Source organism: Homo sapiens, chromosome 5 (assembly GCF_000001405.40).
Source record: "Homo sapiens chromosome 5, GRCh38.p14 Primary Assembly".
NCBI classification, from domain to species: domain Eukaryota; kingdom Metazoa; phylum Chordata; class Mammalia; order Primates; family Hominidae; genus Homo; species Homo sapiens.
This window is the reverse complement of record NC_000005.10, coordinates 149,357,656-149,381,166: the sequence shown is the minus strand read 5'-3', so window position 1 is coordinate 149,381,166 and position 23,511 is coordinate 149,357,656. Positions and strand designations below refer to the sequence as shown.

Here is a 23,511-nt window from a genome sequence, read left to right as displayed (position 1 = left end):
GGGGTCCCCCATACCCCAGCATCCATCTTTCAGTTTGCCACTGTTCTGTGGATATGGGAGGGTCACCCCAGTTGCATGTCTGTGGGACCCCACTGCTAGCAGCAGCAGAGTGTGTGCAGAGAGCCAGCACAGAACACAGCCAGGCCGCCCGGCCAGTGGGGCTGGGGCTGGGACAGCCTGCGGTGGGGGCGGGGCCCTTGTTGCCTGAGGAGGTATTTTCAGAGTACCCCTCCCTCTGGAGTTTCCAACGGTAGAATAGAGCCCTGTCTAGTATTTGACCAAATATGGTGGCATCTCTCATGCTCGAGCCCCAGCCAGCATCTCAGTTATGCTGTGGAAGCCTGCCCCGGACAGATTAATCTTGTGACATTCAGGAGCGCCTCTCACCCTGCCTTCTTCCCCTCGGACGATTCCTGTAAATGGCCAAGACCGGCCCTCAGCACGACAGGGCCGTCCTCAGTATCTGTTCACAATGCCCCTCCTCTGTCCTCCTCACATTCCCTCCCGCCATTCCTGCCTCCCTGGGTGGATGTGCCCGCTTACATTGGGCTGGGCTGTTCACCTGAGGTGAGAGACATTGGCCAGAGGAGGTGGTCAGTTGAGCATGTGATTCCAGGACCTTTGGACCCTGAGGTCATCCGACCTCACAAACTTGTGGCCTGAATCTTGGAGGCCTAGACCTCTCTCAGCAGCCAGGAGGGTGGGCCTGAGGGGGTTGAAGGGAGAGTCAGTAGAGAAATGAGAACCATGCTACCTCTAATGCTAATTAGAACAACTAATGTTTATAATAATTATACAATTATTTTATAATAATCTCTATAATAAATAGCTAAGTGTTTATTGAGCACTTACTATGTGCCAGGTACTGTTGCCAGCTATTTAACATAGGTGATTTCCTTTATTCCTTATAGCAGTTTTAAGAGGGTGCCATGATTCTTCCCATTCTAGAGATGTGGGAACTGAGGCTCAGAAAGATTTCAGGAGGGAATGGGCCAGGCCACCGTCTACTTCTGGATACACCCACCATTTTATGGAGGAGGGAACTGAGGCTGACAGTAAAGCTCACATGCAGCCACACAGTCTCTGAGAGCGGAGACCACCCCAGGAGGGAGAGTGCTGTGTCAGGAAGGCCAGGACAATCAGCCGTAAGTCCTCATGGATCTGAAACTTGGCCAGAGTGAGGGCGTACAGCTTCAGAAATATGTTCACAGCAGGCTGAAATTGTGCGGAAAGTCTCCCAAGAAAAACAACATGGGGTGGTGGATAGAGCCCTGGATGGGGACAGGGTGAGAATAGCAGCTCTGACACCTCTAACTCACTGTTAATAGTGACAAGTCCCTTTCTGGCTCCAGCCTCAGTTTCCTTGACTGTGATCTAGAGGGGTGGGGCTTTGGTCTCCTAGGGCTGCTGAACTCACCTGAGGCCGGCAGAGGCTGGAGTGCCTGAGGCTGTTTCCCTGGGAGATGGGGCCTGTGTCCCACTCCTGGCCAGCACAATTTGAGAACATTTGCTCTCCTGACCAACCAACGGCCCATCCCTCCTCCACCCTCAACCCCTTGCCATCCCCTAAGCAAACGAAGCTGATTGTCTTAGCTGGCCCTGTGGGTGCTGGCTGGGCGGCCGGCCGCAGGCCACAGGCGGAGGTGCCACCGGCCAGAGCCCCACCAGACACACAGGGCATTGTCCCTCGGTCAACAGCCCCTGGGCACCTCAGCTCGGCTCCTGGCCTGCCCCCACGCCCCTCACCGCCTGCCACTGCGCTAGGCTCAGCCAGCTGGGGGCCCAAGGCTCCCAGCTGATGACGAGCCCACCCACTCACTCCCCCAGCAGCCCCCAGTTGAGCTATAATTGCTTCGCTCCATCCTGTTGCTGCCATTCTCTCGGCGGCATCTGGGGTTCCAGGCGGGCAGCAGCTGCAGGCTGACCTTGCAGCTTGGCGGAATGGACTGGCCTCACAACCTGGTACGTGGCGCTTCCCTGCCGCACCCCCACCCCTTTTTAAGAGCCCAAATATGTCAGTTTTTCTTTCCTATTTATTAATGGCTGCCTCTGTTTGGTTTAGAATCTGCAGAGGCAACTTCTCTGTCTTCTCCCCCAGGACTAGAAAGAAACAGAGACTGGTCACTGTAGCCATGGCCAGCAGTGCAGGCTCCTGAACGGGGCTCAGCCGGGGCACACTGAAGCCTTTTCAGACCAGAGGCGTCTGGGGAGATCCCGGCAAACTCAGTTATCGGGGTTTTTCCAAAGAGACCCGGCTTCTGAGGTCCTGGCTGTGTGACCTTGGGCAAGTCCTTCTGTTTCTCAGTGTCCCATCTGGAGAGTGAGGGAGGGGGACTTTGATTCTATTCTACGTTTCTCCGAGTGGAGAGCCAGAGTTTAAGAATGCCCTGTGAGAAACTCTAAAGAGAGAGCCTATTGTTAGGGAGACATTTTTTCTGCACTAGAATCTAGGACCAAAAAGGAAGAATTTAGCACTTGAATCTCTGTTGCAGATTTTGTGCCAGCAAATACCTCTGCCAAGAGGGGCTCTGCTGAAACTTGTTTCCTAGGGTCAAGACTTGCTGGGTAGCCTGGATAAAGCAGGCATGGGCCATGGGGCTGTGGGGCTGTGAGGTGAGGCATACAGGGAACATATGGAGCCTATCTCAATTTAAGAGGAGTCAGAGGTGCCTCCATCCTGGGAGCTCTGCCTCACACGCAGGCACTGTCCCTTCTCTCTGGATTCCTGGGGAGTCTGGCTTCTGCCGGGCCTGAGTCCTCTTCCTTGTGAGCCAAAGGCTTTCCTGATACTCTGGTGCTGGGAGGGAGAAGTGGATGGCAATGGGTGAGGGTGTGTGTGTGTGAGGAGGGCTTGGGGGATGGCTGGAAGAGGGAAGGCTCAGGGGAGAAGGGCAGTGCAGGCGGACAGGACATCCTTAGCCCATAACTTGCCCATCTCCCCAGCTTCATCTCATCCCCTCTTCCTCCCACCCACTCTTAATCAACATTCCATTCGATTCAGCAAAGTTCTTTTTTCTTTTTTTTGAGAGGAGTCTCGCTCTGTCGCCCAGGCTGGAGTGCAGTGGTGTGATCTCGGCTCACTGCAAGCTCCGCCTCCCGGGTTCAGGCCATTCTCCTGCCTCAGCCTCCCAAGTAGCTGGGACTACAGGCACCCGCCACCACACCCGGCTAATTTTTTTGTATTTTTAGTAGAGACGGGGTTTCACAGTGTTAGCCAGGATGGTCTCGATCTCCTGACTTTGTGATCTGCCCGCCTCGGCCTCCCAAAGTGCTGGCATTACAGGTGTGAGCCACCACGCCCGGCCACAGCAAAGTTCTTAACCAGTTCAAACCTCCTCTCTCATCTTCCCCCAACCCACCCCTCCCACACCTGCAAGACTTCAACTCCCTCAGCCCATGCCTGCCATGCCTCACCTGACATGTCCCTTCCCCAGAAAAGTTTCCCAGGCCATTGTCCCAGCACAGCTAAGCAGGAGGCCCCACTCTTCTCCAGCCACACCCTGAATGGGCCCATCCTGGACTTGTCGCTAGGGAGACTTGGGTGTTTGTCTTCTTGTTCACTGTCTTCCTTCTTAGACATAAATGACAGAAGGGCAGCGATGGGGACAGCCATTCATTTACTCAGTGAGTGTTCACTGAATGCATCACGCAGACACGGGAGATATGACAGTGTGTGGAAACTGACACGTGCCCCCACGGAGTCCATGCTGAGTTGGGGGCAGACACATAAAAGAATTGTATACACAAACTTTAAGATTGAAGTCATGCAAGAGGTGTGTGGGTTATGAGAGCCCAAGAAAGTCCAGAGGCATCCCTAAGAAAGCGATGCTAAAGCTGACACGAGGGGTGGGAAGGTGTCCAGGAGGTGAAGAGGCAGAATGCTGCAGGCAGAGGCTGTGCAAAGTCCCTGTGGCAGGAAGGAGCATGCTGAGTGTAAGACTGAGAGAAGACCAGAGGCTGGAACACACAAGAGAGAGGAAACAGGGGGTAATCTGAGGAGGGAGAGCTGGGGGATGGTAGGCAGAGTCAGACCTGAGCCTGGGAGACCCCTAAGAGCAATGGGAAAGGACCATGGACCCCAAGTCTTGGCCCAGATAGAGACTTGGCTCTCCCACCTTTGACCTGTGGCTTTCCTCCCCAGCTGTTTCTTCTTACCATTTCCATCTTCCTGGGGCTGGGCCAGCCCAGGAGCCCCAAAAGCAAGAGGAAGGGGCAAGGGCGGCCTGGGCCCCTGGCCCCTGGCCCTCACCAGGTGCCACTGGACCTGGTGTCACGGATGAAACCGTATGCCCGCATGGAGGAGTATGAGAGGAACATCGAGGAGATGGTGGCCCAGCTGAGGAACAGCTCAGAGCTGGCCCAGAGAAAGTGTGAGGTCAACTTGCAGCTGTGGATGTCCAACAAGAGGAGCCTGTCTCCCTGGGGCTACAGGTAGGCTGGGCAGTGGTGGCAAGCTGTCTTTGGGGGGTGGGGACCTTTCCTGTGCCCCAGTCATTGTAATGGTTAAGATCTCAGATTCAGAGGTCTGGGTGCTTGGGTTCGAACCCTAGCTCTGCCTCTTACTTGCCTGTGAGGCTTTGGGCAAATGGATTAGCCTTTCTGGGCCTCAGTTTCCTCAATGTAAATGGAGGCAACAGTAGTACCTCAGAGTCTTGTTAAGTGAGATATCCATGCAGAGCACTGCCCTCATTGTTCTTCAAGTCTCCATGGAAGTGCCTGCAAGGCTTTCCCCAGATGTCACTTCCTCTGCTCTGTGGGCCTCGGACGCCCTTCTCAGGTGTGGCGCTTCCATGCGGTGTTCCAGTCTGTCTCTTATGCTGGACCTGGGCCTTCCCAGTGCCGGCATCAGAATCACCTAGGGATTCCCATGCCCAATCCAAACCTCCAGCGGTGAGGCCCAGGAAGTGCTATTTCTTATAGCTCCACGTGATCAGGGCGCACAGCAGGCTGCGATTTGGGAATCAAGACCCATTGCCCTGGATAACGATGGCAGCAGCGTCCTCTCTTGGTTGTAGCTCCGCTTCCTTGCTCAGTGCCTGACCCATAGTAAGGACCAAAGATGAAGGAAAGGGCTGACCCTGAGGTCCTCACTCACAAACCCAGGCCAGAGATTTTTCAGCCACATGACATATACCCTGAGACTCTAGAATAGCACTGTTCACCAGAACTTTCTGTGATGATGTAAAGTCCAGTATGGTAGCCACTAGCCTCATGCAGCTACTGAGCACTTGACATGTGGCTACTGTGACTGAGGGATTAACTTTGATTAATTTTTTTATTTTTTGTTTGAGACAGGGTCTCACTCTGTTACCCAGGCTGGAGTACAGTGGCATGGTCTCGGCTCACTGCAGCCTCTGCCTCCTGGGCTCAAGCAATCTTTCCACCTCAGCCTCCCAGTAGCTGGGACCACAGGCATACCTGGCTGATTTTTTTTTTATTTTTTGTAGAGACAGGATCTCACTATGTTGCCCAGGCTGGTCTCACACTCCTAAGCTCAAGCAATCCACCTGCCTTGGCCTCGCAAAGTGCTGAGATTACAGGCGTAAGCCACCATGCTCAGCCCGATTAATTTGACACATGAAGCTAGTGGCTACTGCATTGGACAGTGCAGCTCCAGAATGTGACCATTGGAAGGGTCGGTAAAGATCCTCCAGAACGGAGCTTTTCACATCTGATTGTGCCAATGAATCACTCAGGGATCTGATAAAAATGCAGCTTCAGATTTAGGAGGTTCTGCATTTCTAGCAAGCTCCCAAGCATAAGGTGATGCTAATTCTACATGTCCACAGGTCCAGTTCACCCACTTCCTTGTCCCGTATTTAGCAGATGGGGAAACCGAGGTGCAGAAAAGGAGAGGTCACAAAGCAAGTCCCTGTATGCAAGGCTCCCTGAGAGCACCAGGAGGGAACTTGTCTGCTTTGTTCATCAATGAATACCTAAAATCTAGGACAGAACTGCTCATGTGGTGAGCATGTAAGTGTTGAATGAATGGAGATTAAGTCAGAATAGAACCCAGACCTCCTGACTTCTTTGCCAGTGGAAATTAGGCATCAATAAAAATAATCCACACTTTATTTCCGTGGATTAAGTTTCCCAACAATATAAACACAGTGGGGGTGGGGCAGGCAGAGGGAGGCCTTAATCACTTGAGCCTGGGGAGGCTGATGCTGCAGTAAGCTGTGACTGGGCCACTTCCACCCTGGGTGACAGAGTGAGACCCTGTCTCAAATAAAGGAAACACATGAGGGCCCTAGGTGGTAGAGGGCTACTCCACAATCCCCACAGCGCAACCTAGTACTGGGATGGGCATCTGGCTGCACGAAAGAAGGAAGCTGGGTGACTGGTGACCTTGAAGCTGGATAACCTTGGGGCTCTCGACTTGCCTTCCATGATCTTCAGTTTCCTCACGTGGAACATGGAGTTGATTACTGCCTTTCCTCCAGCCCAACACAGTCTTGCTGTGGAAATTAAAACTCTGATTAGGAAAGGCAGGGGTGTGGAGTATGGGTGCTGACTGGCCCTTTCCTGATCACCTTCCGCTCTGCTCTTTCTTCTGCTCCCTGCAGCATCAACCACGACCCCAGCCGTATCCCCGTGGACCTGCCGGAGGCACGGTGCCTGTGTCTGGGCTGTGTGAACCCCTTCACCATGCAGGAGGACCGCAGCATGGTGAGCGTGCCGGTGTTCAGCCAGGTTCCTGTGCGCCGCCGCCTCTGCCCGCCACCGCCCCGCACAGGGCCTTGCCGCCAGCGCGCAGTCATGGAGACCATCGCTGTGGGCTGCACCTGCATCTTCTGAATCACCTGGCCCAGAAGCCAGGCCAGCAGCCCGAGACCATCCTCCTTGCACCTTTGTGCCAAGAAAGGCCTATGAAAAGTAAACACTGACTTTTGAAAGCAAGACTTTGGGTTTGCTTTTTGTGGCTTCGAAGTCAAAACCAGGGTCAGGGTAGGAGGTTCCTGGGAGGTAGATTTCAGATTAATATAAAGGAGGATTTTTCATCACTCTGAGTTCTCCAATACTGAGGTGGCCTATTAGAAAATAATGTGTTCACCTCTACCACCTAGGGCCATCATGTGTTTCCTTTATTTGAGACAGGGTCTCACTCTGTCGCCCAGGGTGGAAGTGGCCCAGTCACAGCTTACTGCAGCATCAGCCTCCCCAGGCTCAAGTGATACTCGCACCTTAGCCACTCAAGTAGCTGGGATTACAGGTGTGTGCCACTACACCAAGCTAATTTTTGTATTTTTTGTAGATATGGGGTTTCACCATGTTGCCCAGGCTGATCTTCAACTCCTGGGCCTCTCTGCAGATCAGACTTCTGCCCACCTCGGCCTCCCAAAGTGTTGGGATTACAGGTGTGAGCCACCACACCCGGCCCATGTGTTTCCTTTAATCTGGGTTTATAAGTCTATATTTCAGCCATGTTAATGTAGCTTGGTTGCTATAAACCAATATAGGAGTTAACAAGAGTTAACTCTACCCACTTAAGGGTCACTGGAAACAAGCTCTTTTGAGGCGGGGAGCTCCCCATCTCTGAAAGTGTTAACTTAAAGCCAGGCTTCTCAAAGGTATTATGGAGCAGACCCCTGCTCTGGTTGGAGTAGATGATCTAAAAAGTCTTTTTCAGCTCTGAGATTCTCTGCAGATCAGACTTAGACCCAAAGAAAGGCCTCCAGGTTGCCAAAGAGCAGGTGCATCAGAGATAGTGCATCCCTGAAATTTTTATGTATGCACTTTTTCTGAGCTGAGGATTCCTGGTTTTGAACAGACACTCGTAAGTTGAGAAGTGTCAATGTAGATCATTCTTTCTTCCAGCCCTGTCCAAAAGGGGATCTTATTAGATGGTTTGCTGATATCAGTGATTCTCAAACTTTAGTGAGCATCAGAATCTCCTGGAGGGATTGTTAAAACAGCTTGCGGGGCCCCACATCTAGAGGTTCTGATTCAGGTGGAGGCTGATACTTTGCATTTTTTTGCAGTGTTTTTCTTGCATTTCTAATATATAAACAGTTGTTCCCAGGTGATGCTGGTGCTGCTGGTCTGGGCTCTGCACTTTGAGAACCACTGGCTTATATTAAGATACTTTGTTGATCAAAAATGGCAGTGTGTTGGCTTACTCCTATAACACCAGCACTTCGGGAAGCTGAGGCAGGCGGATTTCTTGAGCCTCAGGAATTTGAGACCAGGCTGAGAAACATGGCAAAACCTCATCTCTACAAACAAAATACAAAAAATAGCCCAGCATGGTGGCATGCGCCTGTAATCCCAGGTGTTAGAGAGGCTGAGGTGGAAGGATCACTTGAGCCTAGGGAGGTTAAGGCTGCAGTTAGCCATGACTGTGCCACTGCACTCCACCCTGGGTGACAGAGTGAGACTGTCAAAAAAAAAAAAAAAAAAAAAAAGCCAAAAACAGCAGTGTGGACTAATATATCCTAAAGCCCATGCTGACTCTTGATGCAAGAGTCCCCTGGATGCAACTCCCCACTTCCCATTTTGTCCCCTAGCAATTCAATCCTCCCCCTGGGCCCTCTAACCCCTGCAGCAAATCCCAAATCAGCTGTTCTAGGGTCTAAAAATACCTTCCCTCCCACAAGACAGCTGAGGGGCTAAGACTATATTCTGAGGGTAAGAATAGCTAGCACTTTAGAGTTAACTTTAATAAAAGGGCCAACCGCCCAGGACAGGAATATGTGGCTTGGCTGCTCTGACTTTAGTGCTTAAAGCAGCTTTAGCTCTGAATGTCTTAAGGGTCTAATTCATGAAAGGCCAGTGATTAGGTATGTGCCTGCCTGGGATGGTAAGTAACTTACCTTTTTTGGTATTGTTCTAGAGTGGATACTGGTTAAAATTACCCCAGGAAGCTTCGGCTGGGTTCCAGACACATGGAAAACAGACTTCCTGTGCCAGCGCATGCTGATCCCTTCAGCAGCCGCTTCTCCACCCTTGGGGCTGCTCTCCAGGTCTTAAGACTTCAGCCCCACATGAAGGGCCCACAGCTTCCAAGCCTTTTCTGTGGGGTGAGGGTGTGGGAAGAATTGAGCTGCAAGAGGGTTGCTTGTAGTCCTGGGAGACCCTAGGTGCTCTGGGGCATAGGGGCTGGTGGGGAAACCCCTCATTGTGGTAGGAGGGGGGTGTCTTACTTCTACCCAAGCATCAGGAGCCCCCAGATGCTCCATAAACACCAGCTAGTCTCATACGGATGATGCCTTCTCCTCTTTTTGGGCTTTAGATTCCTCATCCGTGAAACGAACAAATGGGATTTGGGGGCCTCTAGGGTCTTTTCCAGGCTTACCATTCTGTGACTTAGAAGCTTGGCCTTGGTGGCTGGGCTGACCACTGGCGTAGCTCCGAGTCCCAGCTGGCTCTTCCCAGGCTCCCAGTTTAAAGGCAGCAGCAGGGAGCTCAGGTCCTTTGGAGAGCTGGCTCTACACAGCACCCTGGAACTTCCTTTGGTCTGAGTCTAAGTGTGTTTCATGTTTGCCTCCTCTAGCGAGAAGCTTGCACTCCGTGGGACAGGGGCCTCATCCCTTGCTCAGCACTGCACCTCCAGCACCTGGCAGTGTCCAGAGCGGATAGGGGCGCCGTGTTTGGTGAATGAGTGCACAGACGCCTCTAGGGGGAGCCCAAGATCTGCCTCCTGCCTCCCTCTATTATGCCTTCATAGGTGGGTCAGAACAAAGAATTCCTTATCAACCTCCCGGGTCCCCCACTGCCAATCACCCACCTCCATTCTACCCTCTACAGCTGCCCCTTATCCCCCAAAGTCCTGAAATTTTGCTTGGGTCACCTGCTCCAGGAGGCAGAGTTCCCATGAAGGGTATTAAACGTCTACTACACTGCATCCAGGACTGAGGATGTGTGGCCCTTTACCTGTTTTGTTTGGCTGTCTTTGCAAATGCTCTCTTCTTCCAGGGCTCCGTGAACTGCTGGGGGCTTCTGTCCAGGCCTGAGAAGGTTGGGGTGAGCCCTGGGGCAAAGGCGTCCTGTTGGTTCTTATTTCTGGAATCTGTCCTTTCCTCCCTGCCTCCAAGGAATCAGGTTTGGGCTTGGGGAGGCAGGGATTGTGGGCATTTTGGCTGGCTTTAGTTCTGAGCTGTTTGGGCCTACCCAGGTAAAGAAGGTTTCTGAAGGACATAGCCAGTTCCAATGCAGTCATGCTTGGGCATGGAGCCAAAGCCCAGACAAGGACTGAGGATCAAATGTAACTGCCTTGGTTTGTGTCTTCTGTGCACAAATTCTCTGTAGGGATGCAAGGGAGGGGTGGTTATCAGGGATAAGTTTTGTATTGTCCAGTGCTGGGCCAATACCAATTATTAATTACACCATGACAGCGCATGCCATCTTCATTTCAAACAGACCATGAAAAGATGCCATTACACACTTCGAGTTCACTGGACTTGAGAGCCCCATTTGCATGTGGCTGACATTGTGGCTCTCTCTCCAATACCCTTTCCCCCTTTGACCTTGAAGTCTGGATGAGGCCACTTCTGCTCCAGGGATAGGACCTGACTGCTTTAAGCCAATCAGCTTAATCTCACACCCTCCCTGCCTGCATCATGGTTACTAGTCTCGTATCTGAATCCCAAGCCAATCAGCATGTGGCATTCCCTTGACCACAGGAATTGGTTCAGGGGTGGTCCAACTGGCCCAGAGTCCAAAATTTGGTTCAGTGCTTATGAGAGAAGACCTTCTCTTCCTGGGAGCTGTTGGCAGCCATCTTTGACTATGAGAGAAATCATGGAACTGTAAGACTGCACAGTGCTCTATGCCTGGACTTTAAAGCCATGATAACTAATAAAAACTTTTTATTGCTTAAGTCAATTTGAATTTGGTTTCCTACCACTTCATCAAAAGCCTTCTTACTTGGCTGGGGGCGGTGGCTCACATCTATAATCCCAGCACTTTGGGAGGCCAAGGCGGGTGGACCACCTGGGCTAGGAGTTTGAGACCAGCCCAGCCAACATGGCGAAACCCCATCTCTACAAAAAATACAAAAAACTAGCCAGGCATGGTGGCAGGTGCCTGTAATCCCGGCTACTTGGGAGGCTGAGGCACAAGAATTGCTTGAACCCAGGAGGCGAAGACTGCAGTGAGCCAAGATCATACCATTGCACTATGGCCTGGGCAACAAGAATGAAACTCTTAAAAAAAAAAAAAAAAGCCTTCTTACTGATGTGTCAGTTTCATAATTTCTATAGTTATCTATAAGTGCATGCTACTTGTACTTTCTTTCACTGCCATTACCATCACCCTGGCACAGTAAAAACCACCTCAGAGCCAGTTTGGGCCTCCACCAACTGGAAGGGTATTTTGCCCATGCATTTGGCAGTGTTGTTACTCTGGGCACCCAGGCCCTTTCCCTAAAGCCTGATTTAGCAAGGCTGGTAGGGCTTCGGCATCTGCATCTTTCTCAAGGCTCCCTCCCCTTCCCCAGAAGATACTAATGTAGTGGTTGGTCCCCGGGAACCTAAGACTTAGTTCTTCCATTACAGAAAAGAACAGGTCCAAAAGGAATGAAAAGGGCTTTTACTTTCTTTTTAAAACAAGTGATTTTTAAGGGTTTGTAGAAAAAGCAAAGAAAAGCATAATTCTCCTCTTACTTCAAGCTAGTGTCTGATGAGAAAGTACCAGGCTAACCTCTGAAGAATCCTACCCCAACACCTTCTTCTTTCTTCTGCTGGGATGAACATCTAGGGGTAAGATATGACTGCTCTCTACCATCTGGGGACTTCTCTTCTTTATATTGTTGCATTCCTCAATCTTTGCATAAGGAAGAGAATGGCTAATTCCTCTAGGTGCCAAGGAAGAGCTTCCCTCTTCCTACAGCCTCGCATGTTTCTTTTCCCACTGGTTGCCAGGAAGCTTGGAGATATGGTGACGACTATTCAGGCACACATCTCTTCCTTGGGTCCTACCACAGTCATCTCCTCCAATATGCAGTGATGTTGACAGGCTTGGAGATGGTGACTAGGGAGTTCTGAACTAGGTACTTCAAATCCATCAAGTCCACAGTAACCAGGAGCTATGATCATTTCTTAGGTTTTCTGATCTTCCCTTCTACTTTATTTGTAACCATCTGGTTGTAAATGTTTTCTTGTAGGTTGCCTCAATTGATTGTCCATTGTGGGAGTAGGTAGTGAAAAACAGTAATAAAATAAGACTCATAGTTCTCTGCCTTATATTCCCTCCCGTAGTCTTCTGGTTTCTAGCTAAGAAACCAAGTCTGAAGCACCTTGTGAAGATGAACTTTTTTCTTCTTAAAAAAAATAAATAAAACAAATATACTGGCTTGGATTTCCTTCTCTTTTCTTACTTTCCCCCTTAAAAAAAAGCAGCAGCCGCCGTGTGGACCCTTAATATAGGCAGACAGTAGGTCACCTGGAGATGCTTGATACATGAGGGGTCAGAAAGAAGCCTGGTGGGCGAGCATGGCTTATTCAGTCCTGGGCTGCTGTGGGATGATCCATCTTCAGTGGGGGATGAAAGTTCCCAGGCTCTCCCTAGAGCCCTCACAGTTCAGTCTTGACCTTGTGCATCAAATCTTTTTGATCAATCTTGTCTAGGTCCTGGTACCAGCGGTTGTAAGCCAGCAAGGCCACATTCTTGGCAGCCACGGCCATCACCTCCACGGAGCTGGCCGCCCACTCCAGGGCATTGAGGTAGAAGAGCTGGTCATGGAGTGCAAACCTCGGGAGCGTGGGGCGGGAGCCATAGAGGGGATGGGCCTGCCACTCAGCTGTCTGCACTGAGTAATAGGAACGGAACAGGGTCTTTAGCTGGGTCCGAAAGAGGGGCTTGGGGGACTGGACTCGCCAAACAGCTGCCTCCTGGGGCTGCTTTCGCCGGAAGCTGGCAGAGATGTTGACAGGGCAGATGTTGTCCAGAGTGCAGAAGAAGCTGGGGAAATCTGTGGTAAGGATGTTGGCAAAGGGGAAAAGCTTAGGGTCTGGGAAACCGAAGTAGGACGAGTTGAGGTAGCCGTGGACCAAGGAGACGACGGTGGGCTGGAAAGAGCCCTGCACGTCATCAATGGGCGGGTGGAAGCCTGCAAAGGTTAAGTTGCTGCTGCTGTTGTCCAGGTGCAGGGGGGTGGCGATGACCACGATGTCATAGAAGTCAGAGCTGTTGCCTACCTCATTCTCATACGCCACCTGGTACAGGGCTTTCCCCTCTGGAAAGAAAAGAGCACAAAAGTCAACTTTCCCTTGGCTTCTACCCACTGAACTCCCTACTGGGGTCCAGCATTGAGGTACAACGAGACCCTGGTGCTCAGGGTGCAGCAGGGCTGTCTAAATGGTGGGTCCTGGCCTCTCCATGCTGATGCGGCTGCAGAAGAAGCAAGGGGCATGGAGTCAGGAGACTCAGTTTCTGCTCTGCTTCCGCCGCTGGCCAGTTGGGGGAGCGTGGGCAAGGATGTCATTCAAAGTCCTCATCGGTCAACAGAAAAAGGCTGGGTCGATGGAAGTCTCAGCTTTCTGGCTGACATCTGAATTGGGGAAACAGCACCCTCTAGTGTCACCTGGCAGGGTTGGGGCTTCTCAATGCTTTTTCGGAAATACTCCCCAGGGGGATCACAGACCAGGGCTGAGGTACAAAGGAGGCAGAAGTGTCTGTCCACTGGCTGGGAATGGCATGCCTGCCCACTCCCGCCCTGTCTACTCACCTGTGCTGTGCAGGGTCACAGAGGTCACTGTGGCATGGATCACATTGGCCTTGGTGAGCTTCAGCAAACCGGAACAAACCAGCTTATTGCCTCCTTCCACAGACCACAGGCTGCCTTGGGCCCCGGCTAGTGACATGGCTCCTGGGCAAAGCGGGAAGTGGGTGCTGATAGGTTGTCAGGGCCGTGGGGCAGGAGGGCTGGGGAGTCCAGTACTATTCGACTGGGCCTCCCTGCCAGAGCAAAACTCTCCCAACCATGGGCATGGGGAGATGGCAAACATACAAGTAAGTACAACAAAGTGCACAATGCTATGGGGGGAAGACACTGTGCTCAACGAAAGAGCCAGCTCCCAGAGACCACATATTGTGAGGTCTATTTATGCAGAATGCCCAGACTAGGCAAATCCACAGAAACAGAAAGCAGATCTGTAGCTGCCCAGGGCTGGGAGGCCGGGGGGTGTTGGGGAGGTGAGGGCTAAAGGGCAAGGGGGTTTCTTTCTGGGGTGATAAAAATGTCCTAAAATTGATTGTGGTGATGGTTTTAGAACTCCGAATGTGCTAAAAACCACTGAATTGTGCAATTTAAATGGGCGAATTATATGGTATGTGAATTCTATATATCTCTACACAAAAATGCTATGAAGGAGACACACAAGATACTGAAAGAGTGAGCAAGGAACACTGAGGGGACACTGAGGCAGGGCCTGAAGGCTGCGAAGGAGCCAGCATGTGCAGAGCCAGATGAACAGTATCGAGGGTACGAGGGAGGTGCTTGTTATTGTAAACCTTTGCATTCATTTATTTAACAAAAATATACCCAGTGCCTAGTATGACTTAGGCACTGTTCTGTGTTTGCAATGTATCAGGGAACAATAGACAAGGATTCCTGCTCTTGTGAAGCCTACATTCTCCACTCCTGTGGTCTGTGCTAGCAGACAGTGAGCTACACACAGGCCCAGCCACTCCCGTGAAGAGCTGGGAAGAGGAGGTGCTCTCACAGTGGCTCAAAGGCCTCAACAGGGCAGTTCTTGAAACCAAAGTGTAGAGAGCAGAGCATTATCTCAGCTCTAACATTTACACACATGCAAGGGATTATGAAGCAATTGGGAGTGGTAGAAACACACTGGACCTGTGATCTGAGCCTTGCTTTCACTGTCTGTGAAGTGGGGTGATACTATCTCCTGCCAACTCATGGCCAGTCCCAGAATCAGGCAGGATGGGGCAGCAGAGTGCCTATGTGACTGCAATGAGCTGGATAAAAGTGAGGTTATTATGGGGACCCCCAGCCCATTCTGAGCACCTTGGGTGGAGGAGGGGCAGGTGGGCAGGCCAAGGGTTGGACGCTTACCTGCAAAGGCGGGCATCGCTGCTGACTGGCCATAGCTGGCCCGCAGGACAGCAGAAACGACATCATCAATAAAGCGCTGCGTGACGCCCACCTGCAGCAGGGACTCAGCCACAGAGTGCTGGGTCATGTTAACAAAGGTGGACTCCCCCAGTGAGTAGAGCAGCTCCTCCACACCCGAGAAGGCATAGCCGTGGGCCTGGTACTTATAGATCCTAGAAGACACATAGAGCTGGAGTCCTTGTGCAGGAAGGCTTTTTGCCTGACCACCTGCCCCTGGGTTATAGTGCCTGGGAGGCCCACCAGGAACCCATCACTTCCTCTACATGGAGTGGTGGCAGAAGAGGCTGGTCATGTTCCCTGGCACCTGTTCTCTGACTGTGGCGGGCCTGTCCCACCTAAAGGGAGTGTGAAGGTATGGAATCCTTCTAGGCCTGGCTTCACATCACGGCTGTGCTGAGTAACAACTGTATCACTGCTCTGAGCCACTCCCTGCCTGAGGTCATAGTTCATAACCCTTTCTTCACCCAGCTGGGGCTACGGCCCACCCCTGCTGACACATCTCCTTCTCCAACAGTGTCGGTTCTGCCACAGCTTCTAGGACCTGATGACACACTGCAACTTCATGCTGATACTGTCACCTTCTCTGCCAGTCCAGCCTGTCCTCTCCTCTCGCTTCATCTGACAGGGCTCCCACTCACCCCCAGGCTCATGTCCTGTCGCTCTATCACTCATGCAATCTCACTAGCATGGATTGGAACCATCGATGGATTTCCTGACTGGCTGGCCTTTGAAATGTTGCCCATTCTAGGGCTTCTTTTGTAAACATGTTGAGTTTGGTTATCAATAGGACACGAGATGGAGGTGTCCAGAAAGTTGAAATGTGGGTCTGGAAGTGAAGAGGAAACTAGGGCTGAGAGGGAGAAGTCATTTCCCATAAAACGTAGAAGTCAACATTATTGGTCTGGATATAATTGATAAGGGAGAAAAATATCAGAAAGAGAGGTAAGGAAATAAGCTTTGGGTGACATCTGGAGAATATAAGGAAGAAGTGCTATAAACAGCAGAGTTATAGAATGGGAAGGGAGTGGAGAAGTGCCAGGAACCAGGGCAGGAGGGCACAGGCCACACTTGAGTGACACTGAAGGGAGGCAGACAGTGATGGGGTCCGGGGAGCAGCCCCTGCGCCTTAGGCTGGAAGCAGGGAGCACCTTCAGGAGGGACTTTGGGGAAAGGTGGAGTGACAGCTTGGTGAACAGGGAGGGAACAGACCACTTGCCCTCCACATCTGGGACCAAAGGTGATGGGGAGGGGGCTGGAGCCCAGGGATAGGAGGAGTGGTGAAGAAAGGTGTTTATTCTAGATGGAAAAATGAGGACAACAAAGTTTGCAAATGAGTGGTCCACAGGCTGCATCTGCCCTGCAGAAGTGTTTCATTTGGCTTACAAGATGAATTGGTTGCAAATGTTGAAAAACTGAAAAGATTTCACACACGACTCTGGATTTCCAGCTTCTTCTGAAAAGTGAGTAGATCTAGCCACATGAGGTGGGCATTGTACACGGCTGGCTGCAGATGGCTGCGGTGGAGGGCTGGCTGCCTCCTTCAGAGGGGGCCTTGTTCTGCTCTCTTCCACCTGCTGATTCACTGACTCGCATCCCAGTTCAGCCCTTGTTAAGCGACTGAGTTTGCAACCCATGCTTTTATTAGTATCAGTGTAGTAGAGGGTAAGAAAATGAGAGTCAATGTGACAATACTAGGGAGACCATTACTGGACCAAATACGGCCATTCCTCATGCCAGGGGCTTGCTCTGAGCCTGCACTGAATTGTGCTGGCTCAATTCAGCAAGGACCTTTTCCTTTTTCACAAAGTACAGGCAAGCTGGTTCCTCCCCCACCTCTTCTCGGTTCCCCTGGAACGCCATCCCCACAGCTCTGCCAGCCCTACCTCATGAACTTCTCCATGACCTCCTCCACCCACATCTGCAGCCTCAGGAAGCTGATGCCATAGTGCCACCAGAGGCGGAAGAGGTTCAGCAGGTACCAGTCAGTCTCCTCCAGCATGAAGTGCTCCCCGCCGAAGATGGCGCTCCTGCCCACCACCTCGCGCCGGTGCCTCAGCCCTGCAGAGACAAAGAGGAGCCCCTCAGGTCCCCTCCAAGACTTGGGGCCCTCTTGATGCAAATGGACTGGTCCATTAAAGGAAACACAAATGCTATGGTTTGTTCATTTGTGCTGCTTGTTAATAAACAGTAAACAGATGCACTGGGAAAATGTTTGGACTACCAAGTCAATAAAAAAATGAAAATGAAAATAATGTAACATTTTACATTTTTTTTCCCCAGGAGGATCCACAAGTGAGGGAAATTCAGATTTTATCCCAGAATGTCCAGGGGGTGACAGCCACTGGGCTTGTTTGGAGATGGTGGCCTTGGGCACTGAGATCACTTGGAAGTTATCCTAGCTCCTTACAGCCATCCTGCACTCTGCAACTTGACAGAGCAGTGGACTCCTAAACACAGACAGAGCTGCTATGACTTGTTCCTTCCCCACCCCCACATACTACACACACTGCTCTCCACTTTAACAATACACTGTATCTTGGAGATTGCCCTGTATCTGGGCATAAAGACTTCCCCATTCTGACTGCTGAACAGCCTATTGTGTAGTTATACAATAATTTGTTTAACCCCAGGTCCTAGTGGATAGGCAGCTAGGATACTTTCAGCCTTTTGCTATTACAAACAATGCTGTAGTGAATAACTTGGTATCTATGCTACTTTGCACATCTGTAAGACCACCTGTAGCATCACTTCTGAGAAGCAGAGTTTCTGCATCAAACAGAACGTGTATTGGACAGATGCTGCTGGGTTTGAATCCCACCTCTCGCTGTAATGGCTTTAGCTTAAATCTATACATTTTCTGAGCCTCAGTTGCCTTAAGAGGAGATATAACACTCATCTTGCAGGTTGGTAGAGGGGAGCTGAGGTAATGCCTACATACCACCCAGAAGGTGCCTGGCAAGCACTAGCATGTGGAAGGTGATATAATCACGATTATTTAGAGGCAGCAAATTGAAAGGGAAAGAAACTGGCCTAGGAGTCAAACCTGAGTTCTAATCCCGGCTCTGCAACTAACTCACTGTGTAACCTCAGGCAAGTTCCTTCCCCTCTCTTGTTTCTGTTGCTCCATCTGTAAAATGAGATTGGGCCACATGACCTTCTGGCCTTGATGGTCTGGGAAGTCTGAGAAGGGCCCAGTGCTGTCACCAGCCCCAGGGCGCTGGGCACTGGAGCCCCAGGACTGACCACTCACCCAGCAGCTTGACGAAGTCCTGCATGTGCAGGCTCAGGGAGTGGAAGGAGGCAGCCCCGCTCTCATAGTGCTGCTTGTTGACTGAGATGGTGGCCAAGCGGCCACCCACGGTTCCCTTCTCGTACACGTCGATCTGCACCCGAGGTCCAAAGTGCTGCTGGAGAAAATGGGCCACAGCAGAGCCCCCAATCCCAGCCCCAACCACCGCTGTCAGCAGGCCCGGGAGGTAGGGAAGAAGAGAGACAGAACATGAGAGTGAGAGGCTGTAGTTCACACTTTGTATCCTCCTGCGCTGGTGGTTCCCAGGTGCTTAAATTTCCTAGGCTTATAACATTTCCAAAAGGAAATCTGCGGACTGAGTTGTCAGTAGAGCTATTAATAAGCAAAGGCAAACCTGAAAACTGCTGCCTACTATACTTTCGTTTCATAAAGAAAAAGGTATTTTGCAGCAAAAGACCAGCAAAGAATACTGAAAGTCAGGATGACCAATTAAAGAGAATAAATTTAGTTTTATATAAAACTCACTACCTTGCTTCTAACTTTCTTATTTCCCTATGAATTGTTAAAAGTTACTGACCAGTTCTGTTCAGTGATCAGTGTTTGGAAACCAGGCCTTAATCCAGGGATTGGCAAACTACAGCCTGCAGGCCAAATCCAGAAAGATGCCTGTTTTTGCAAACTAGAGTTTTATTGAAACACAGCCATGATGCTCTTTCTTTCAATTATTGTCTATGACTGTTTTCATTTTAGGCAGAGTTGAGTAGCTGCAACAGAGACTGCATGGCCTGAAAAGCCTAAAATATTTACTCTCTGGCCATTTACAGAAAAAAGTATGCCAACTCCTGGTCTAGTCCAACCTACTATCGGACACCTAAATCATCCTTATGTCTGTGTTTGTCAAGACTGGAATGTATCTGCCAGGCGCGGTGGCTCACGCCTGTAATCACAACACTTTGGGAGGCCTAGCGGGGGCAGATCACCTGAAGTCAGGAGTTCGAGACCAGCCTGACAAACATGGTGAAACCCTGTCTCTACTAAAAATACAAAATTAGCTGGGTGTGGTGGCGCATGCCTGCAATCCCAGCTACTCAGGAGGCTGAGGCAGGAGAATCGCTTGAACCTGGGAGGCGGAGGTTGTGGTGAGCTGAGATCGTGCCATTGCACTCCAGCCTGGGAAACAAGAGCAAAACTCCATCTCAAAAAAAAGAGACTGGAATGTACTCTATGATGGATTGTTCATTACCCTACAGGACACTATATTCCAGTTTGAAATCTTGTTACAAAGTTTCAGCTTTTTTGGGTCTTATCATACACTGTCTTTACTGTACCTCCTGCCTTCCTGTTATTTGTAAACTTGGTTTACATGCCATCACTATTCTCATCGAAGTCACTGATAAGAATGTTTCCTGGGACAGGGCTTGGAGGTGCTGCTAGGAAACCACTGCCTGGACAGACATCAATCAGTTTTTTTTCAAACAGGATCTGGCTCTGTTGCCCAGGCTGGAGTGCAGTGGCATGATATTGGCTCACTGCAAACCTCCCAGGCTCCCAAGTAGCTGAGACTACAGGCACATGCCACCATGCCCGACATATTTTTCGTAGAGATGAGGTTTCACCATGTTGCCCAGGCTGGTCTTGAACTCCTGAGCTCAAGTGATCCTCCTGCCTTGGCCTCCCCAAGTGCTGGAATTACAGGCATTAGCCACTGTGCCTCACCTGACACTAATCATTAAACAGTCCTGTGAGAGAACTATAAACCAGCTATGAAGCTACTGAACTGGACTACCACCCTACCTATAATTTTTGCTCACCATGTATCTGAAACACCACTCTCTTCTCATCAGACAGTCCAGAGGCCTTACCCCAAAAGAAAATTAAATAAATCTGGTGTAATTTGTCCTTACTGGACCCATTTGGACCCACAGAGTACCAGTTCCTGCCAGAAGTCACAGGCAATCCTCAGACAGCACCAGGTTCTCTATGATCTGGCCTCTGCTTACTTATTCCATTTCCTGCTTTACCCTCCCAAGATGCCACCTTCTTGTCTGTCTAGGCTTCTCTTATTGTGGGCACATAGCTTTGTTCTCTCATGCCTGGGCCTTTGTCCGAGCTGTTCCCTTTGATAGGAGTGCCATCACCCTGTGTCTCACTGGCTTCAACAGCCCTCAGATGTCACCTATAACTTGGCTTGACTGACCCACCTGAGGTGAGTCAGGTGTTCCTCCTGCATATTCCCACAGCACACTCTGCTTAGCCGTACTGTAGTCAAGTTATTTAAGGACAGAGAGAGAGTGCATGATCACTATGTCCCCAGATCCTGGTGGACAGTAGAGTTCATGAAGTATTTTTTCTGTGTTGAAAGAATAAACCACTTCCTCTCACAGTACTTACAAAGCCACTTCCAAGACAGCTTTGGATTTTATTTTAACCAGTGTGCTCCCATCCCCTCCATGTGCAAAGAGTCCCAAATTACCCATTTTTCCAGAGAAATTGATATTAAGGCCTAGAAGCTGCCCAAGATCAGGAAGCAGAAGACACCACTTCATTGTGAACCAGCTCATTTAACACAACTGACACCAATTCTCTAATTTACAGTAAGATGTCCTGGGGCACAAAGAAAAATCAAACAGGCTTCTGTCCCCCAGGACCCCAGCATGGAATGGGCAGACAGACTCCTGCGCAATTAGCAACGACAACCCATGATGAAGTGCAACAGGGTTCCAGGGAGTCCTGAAGGGGAAGCAGTGAATTCTGCCCCAGAGGGTGTGGGGACACAGCCTTCTTGGGGAAATAAGATTTCATGCAAGATGCTGGAGGACAATCAGCTTTGTCAGTGAGAGGACACGCACACTCTGCAAAGAGACCAGCATGAGAAGGGCAGCATATGGAACTATATGGGTGGGTTTAGAGGGTCCTGATGCCACTTGGGGGTTCTCAGATTTGGTCCTGCAGAAGCACAAGCATTAAGCCATCCTAACAGGAATCCGCATTCTTGTTGTGGGTAGAGTCCAAACCACCAAGGATGAACAGAGGCTCCCGTCAGAGGGCTGAGGAAAATCTAGAAAGCTGAAGGGCAGTGAGGCATTGCCAAGTGTCCTGCTCTGGATGACTCTTGGATGGGGCCAGAAGGGCCAGCTGGGAGGAAGGAGGCAGAGAGCTCCATGTTGCCACAATGCAGCAATTCTGCTGGGTGGAGGTCCTGCTCCTTCCCCAATGGTGAGAAATGTCCTGTCCTGTTGCCTGTTCCTAAGAAAACGGGGAGTGCCCTGCATATTCCCACAGCACACTCTGCTTACTCCTAGCCACACTGTATTCAAACGATCTAAGGACAGAGAGAGAACACATGGTCACTCATGGATACTGCCTGCCTAACTCTTCCACATCCTTCAATGCCTGGCTCAAACTCCACCTTCTCCATGAGGGCTTCTCTGGCTACTCTAGCCTCAGGATTCTCTTTTCTTGGCAAGCACTAAACTCTCAGTCTCAAACTGGTTTCTGGCATGCTTCAGTCTTCTTAACCCTGTATGGCCTGGGCTGTGGTTCTGCTACACAAGAAGCTTTAGCACTGCACTGGACCCTGTAAGTTTGTGATGCTTCTATCAGATGTTCCAGGCACTCCTGCCAACTGGGGTGCATGGAGAGTGGCCTAGCGGAATAGAGTCTTTGTCCTCCCACCCCGAAGCCCAGGATCTCTGCCTGTGGGAATATCACGTGTGAGGGACTTGAAAATCTTCACGAGTCATGTAGTTAAAATGACAGTTGTTGAGGGAGGAAAAAAAAAAGCAACTGTAAACACATATGACACTCTAGTCAATGATATGCACGATGACGTATTTAGTGAGGTGTCCTGATGTCTGCAATTTATTTGGAGATGCATCAAAATGTAGGCTGGATTCGTGGATGTCTAGAACAGTGCGTGATAGTTATGTGACACAGCAAGTATAGCAGCAGTTAATGGCAGAATGTAGGTGGTGGGTATACAGATGACCACTATAAAATTCTTGCTGTACATCTGAACATTTTCAAAATAAAGTATTGGGGAAACCACACACACAATAAACAAAAAGACTGTTGTTAAAAGTTCCCCGTTCTGTCAGCAAATCTCCAGCGGACCTAGTGTTCTGTCTCTGCCAGGACTGTCTCCTATCGACCTGGGGGTGGTTTGGCTTAGATGTTACTTCCAGGAAGCCCTCCCAGGGCCGCAAAGACAGGGTGAAGCGCCCCTCCTCTGCATGCACCGTACTTCCTCAGCTCAGCACGGACTTCCCTGTACTGTGAGGGCTCTACCCCAGCAGGAACTACAGCACCACGTCTGCTACACAGAGAGCCCTCAACCAACCTCTGTGAATGCCATCGCCCAGCCTCTCTGTCCTCTGTCACCCGGGCGCCTAGCCAACAGCCAGGACCATGGCAGATGCTCAGCGACCCTGGACCTCCCGGTGAGATCCGCGGCCAGTCCTGCCCAGGCCTCTTTTCCGTCCTAGGTGGCCCTCTTCACATGCCATGCCCCGGCCCCATCAGGACCTTCCCTGCCGCGTCCCCTTCGGCGCCTCTCCTCCACCCAGCTCCTTTTCCGAGGACCCCTCCCTCACCCAGCCGCCCTCCTATACCCCACCTAGCTGAGAACTGAGAACCCTTTACCCGCCGGCCCTCCCCAGCTGGGAACCCCACCGCGTCCTTCCCGCACCGATTTTGCCCGGCGGGGCATCTCCGCCAGCAGCGGCGGCGGCGAGGAGCGCGGTCAACGCGGCGAGCAGCGGGGCTGCGCGGGCCATGGCGGGCGGCGAGCGGGCAGCACGCCGGATTCAGGCGCTAGCGGGTTGGCGCTCGGCTCTCCGCCCCGCCCCGGCGCCCCACTGGCAGTCCCGCCTTCCTGCCGCGCCAGACCCAGCTCCGCATTGGCCAAGCCGCCGTCCCTCTCCAGCACGAGGCCCTCATTAGCTCCATCTCTCTCGGGGTAGGCTCTCTCATTGGCAGCTTCCCCGTTCCGCCCCGCCCCCCGCATGCGGGCTCCTCATTGGCTGGGTTCATTCTTGCCCGGCGCAGGTGTGCCCGCTTCGGGTCCTCAGCATCAGGACCAGGGCCCAGCTGCGGCAGAGGGATGAAACAGACCAAAGTGAAGCTTTGAAGACCTCGGTTATGTCCAGCCTCTGCGTTATTAGCTCTGTATCTTCTCTGTGTCTGTTTC

At 51.2% G+C, this 23,511-nt stretch overlaps 2 protein-coding genes across 9 annotated transcripts in view, besides 12 other annotated features; one reads left to right on the top strand and one right to left on the bottom strand.

Moving 5' to 3' along the window:
- The window catches only part of IL17B (interleukin 17B), a 29,936-nt gene extending 23,036 nt beyond the window's left edge, over positions 1 to 6,900 (top strand). For 4 of the 6 annotated variants that reach the window (NM_001317987.2, XM_017009348.2, XM_017009347.2 and 1 more), the window contains 2 exons: positions 4,142 to 4,431; positions 6,567 to 6,900. In NM_001317987.2, coding sequence (NP_001304916.1) covers positions 4,277 to 4,431; positions 6,567 to 6,798 — 387 coding nt within the window. In that variant the 5' untranslated portion in view covers positions 4,142 to 4,276 and the 3' untranslated portion in view covers positions 6,799 to 6,900. Of the gene's footprint in view, positions 1 to 226; positions 1,146 to 1,874; positions 1,963 to 4,141; positions 4,432 to 6,566 lie in introns of those variants that run through there. The other 2 variants (XM_017009346.2, NM_014443.3) reach the window with 2 other exon arrangements.
- Positions 28 to 740: an enhancer, noted in NCBI's record as "H3K4me1 hESC enhancer chr5:148759990-148760702 (GRCh37/hg19 assembly coordinates)". NCBI's record gives its function as "activates a minimal SCP1, AML or CMV promoter by ChIP-STARR-seq in naive H9 embryonic stem cells {active_cell/tissue: H9 hESC(naive)}" and the evidence as "EXISTENCE:reporter gene assay evidence [ECO:0000049][PMID:30033119]".
- Positions 1,093 to 1,627: an enhancer, noted in NCBI's record as "H3K4me1 hESC enhancer chr5:148759103-148759637 (GRCh37/hg19 assembly coordinates)". NCBI's record gives its function as "activates a minimal SCP1, AML or CMV promoter by ChIP-STARR-seq in naive H9 embryonic stem cells {active_cell/tissue: H9 hESC(naive)}" and the evidence as "EXISTENCE:reporter gene assay evidence [ECO:0000049][PMID:30033119]".
- Positions 9,553 to 9,702: a silencer, noted in NCBI's record as "silent region_16497". NCBI's record gives its function as "represses an Ori minimal core promoter by ATAC-STARR-seq in GM12878 lymphoblastoid cells {active_cell/tissue: GM12878}" and the evidence as "EXISTENCE:reporter gene assay evidence [ECO:0000049][PMID:35858748]".
- Positions 11,514 to 23,121, bottom strand: PCYOX1L (prenylcysteine oxidase 1 like). 3 transcript variants are annotated; one of them, NM_001301054.2, is made up of 6 exons: positions 22,995 to 23,121; positions 18,324 to 18,530; positions 16,957 to 17,131; positions 15,014 to 15,225; positions 13,667 to 13,807; positions 11,514 to 13,174 (listed from the first exon to the last, which is right to left on the bottom strand). In NM_001301054.2, the coding sequence occupies exons 1-6, from the start codon at positions 23,029 to 23,031 to the stop codon at positions 12,513 to 12,515; spliced, it is 1,434 nt and encodes a 477-aa protein (NP_001287983.1). In that variant the 5' UTR covers positions 23,032 to 23,121; the 3' UTR covers positions 11,514 to 12,512. The 3 variants fall into 3 exon arrangements, with proteins under 3 accessions (NP_001287983.1, NP_001287986.1, NP_076933.3); NM_001301057.2 differs by having other exon boundaries at positions 15,014 to 15,048; NM_024028.4 differs by having other exon boundaries at positions 23,011 to 23,121.
- Positions 12,585 to 13,448: an enhancer, noted in NCBI's record as "H3K27ac-H3K4me1 hESC enhancer chr5:148747282-148748145 (GRCh37/hg19 assembly coordinates)". NCBI's record gives its function as "activates a minimal SCP1, AML or CMV promoter by ChIP-STARR-seq in primed H9 embryonic stem cells {active_cell/tissue: H9 hESC(primed)}" and the evidence as "EXISTENCE:reporter gene assay evidence [ECO:0000049][PMID:30033119]".
- Positions 13,449 to 14,313: an enhancer, noted in NCBI's record as "H3K27ac-H3K4me1 hESC enhancer chr5:148746417-148747281 (GRCh37/hg19 assembly coordinates)". NCBI's record gives its function as "activates a minimal SCP1, AML or CMV promoter by ChIP-STARR-seq in naive H9 embryonic stem cells {active_cell/tissue: H9 hESC(naive)}" and the evidence as "EXISTENCE:reporter gene assay evidence [ECO:0000049][PMID:30033119]".
- Positions 13,605 to 13,684: an enhancer, noted in NCBI's record as "active region_23371". NCBI's record gives its function as "activates an Ori minimal core promoter by ATAC-STARR-seq in GM12878 lymphoblastoid cells {active_cell/tissue: GM12878}" and the evidence as "EXISTENCE:reporter gene assay evidence [ECO:0000049][PMID:35858748]".
- Positions 13,775 to 13,824: an enhancer, noted in NCBI's record as "active region_23370". NCBI's record gives its function as "activates an Ori minimal core promoter by ATAC-STARR-seq in GM12878 lymphoblastoid cells {active_cell/tissue: GM12878}" and the evidence as "EXISTENCE:reporter gene assay evidence [ECO:0000049][PMID:35858748]".
- Positions 14,567 to 14,861: a silencer, noted in NCBI's record as "tiled region #12528; HepG2 Repressive non-DNase unmatched - State 8:EnhW". NCBI's record gives its function as "represses a minimal TATA promoter and a strong SV40 promoter by Sharpr-MPRA in HepG2 cells {active_cell/tissue: HepG2}" and the evidence as "EXISTENCE:reporter gene assay evidence [ECO:0000049][PMID:27701403]".
- Positions 22,882 to 23,091: a silencer, noted in NCBI's record as "silent region_16496". NCBI's record gives its function as "represses an Ori minimal core promoter by ATAC-STARR-seq in GM12878 lymphoblastoid cells {active_cell/tissue: GM12878}" and the evidence as "EXISTENCE:reporter gene assay evidence [ECO:0000049][PMID:35858748]".
- Positions 23,067 to 23,361: an enhancer, noted in NCBI's record as "tiled region #10017; HepG2 Activating DNase matched - State 4:PromP, and K562 Activating DNase unmatched - State 1:Tss". NCBI's record gives its function as "activates a minimal TATA promoter and a strong SV40 promoter by Sharpr-MPRA in HepG2 and K562 cells {active_cell/tissue: HepG2 | K562}" and the evidence as "EXISTENCE:reporter gene assay evidence [ECO:0000049][PMID:27701403]".
- Positions 23,112 to 23,271: a silencer, noted in NCBI's record as "silent region_16495". NCBI's record gives its function as "represses an Ori minimal core promoter by ATAC-STARR-seq in GM12878 lymphoblastoid cells {active_cell/tissue: GM12878}" and the evidence as "EXISTENCE:reporter gene assay evidence [ECO:0000049][PMID:35858748]".
- Positions 23,292 to 23,341: a silencer, noted in NCBI's record as "silent region_16494". NCBI's record gives its function as "represses an Ori minimal core promoter by ATAC-STARR-seq in GM12878 lymphoblastoid cells {active_cell/tissue: GM12878}" and the evidence as "EXISTENCE:reporter gene assay evidence [ECO:0000049][PMID:35858748]".

Excerpts from the sequence above, each read along its gene's own strand:
- PCYOX1L (NM_024028.4), bottom strand. The coding sequence starts at position 23,098 with ATGGCCCGCGCAGCCCCGCTGCTCGCCGCGTTGACCGCGCTCCTCGCC. Across the intron at positions 17,132-18,323 it reads GGACTTCGTCAAGCTGCTGG|GGCTGAGGCACCGGCGCGAG; the intron begins GTGAGTGGTCAG and ends TTGTCTCTGCAG. Across the intron at positions 15,226-16,956 it reads GTCATGGAGAAGTTCATGAG|GATCTATAAGTACCAGGCCC; the intron begins GTAGGGCTGGCA and ends TGTGTCTTCTAG.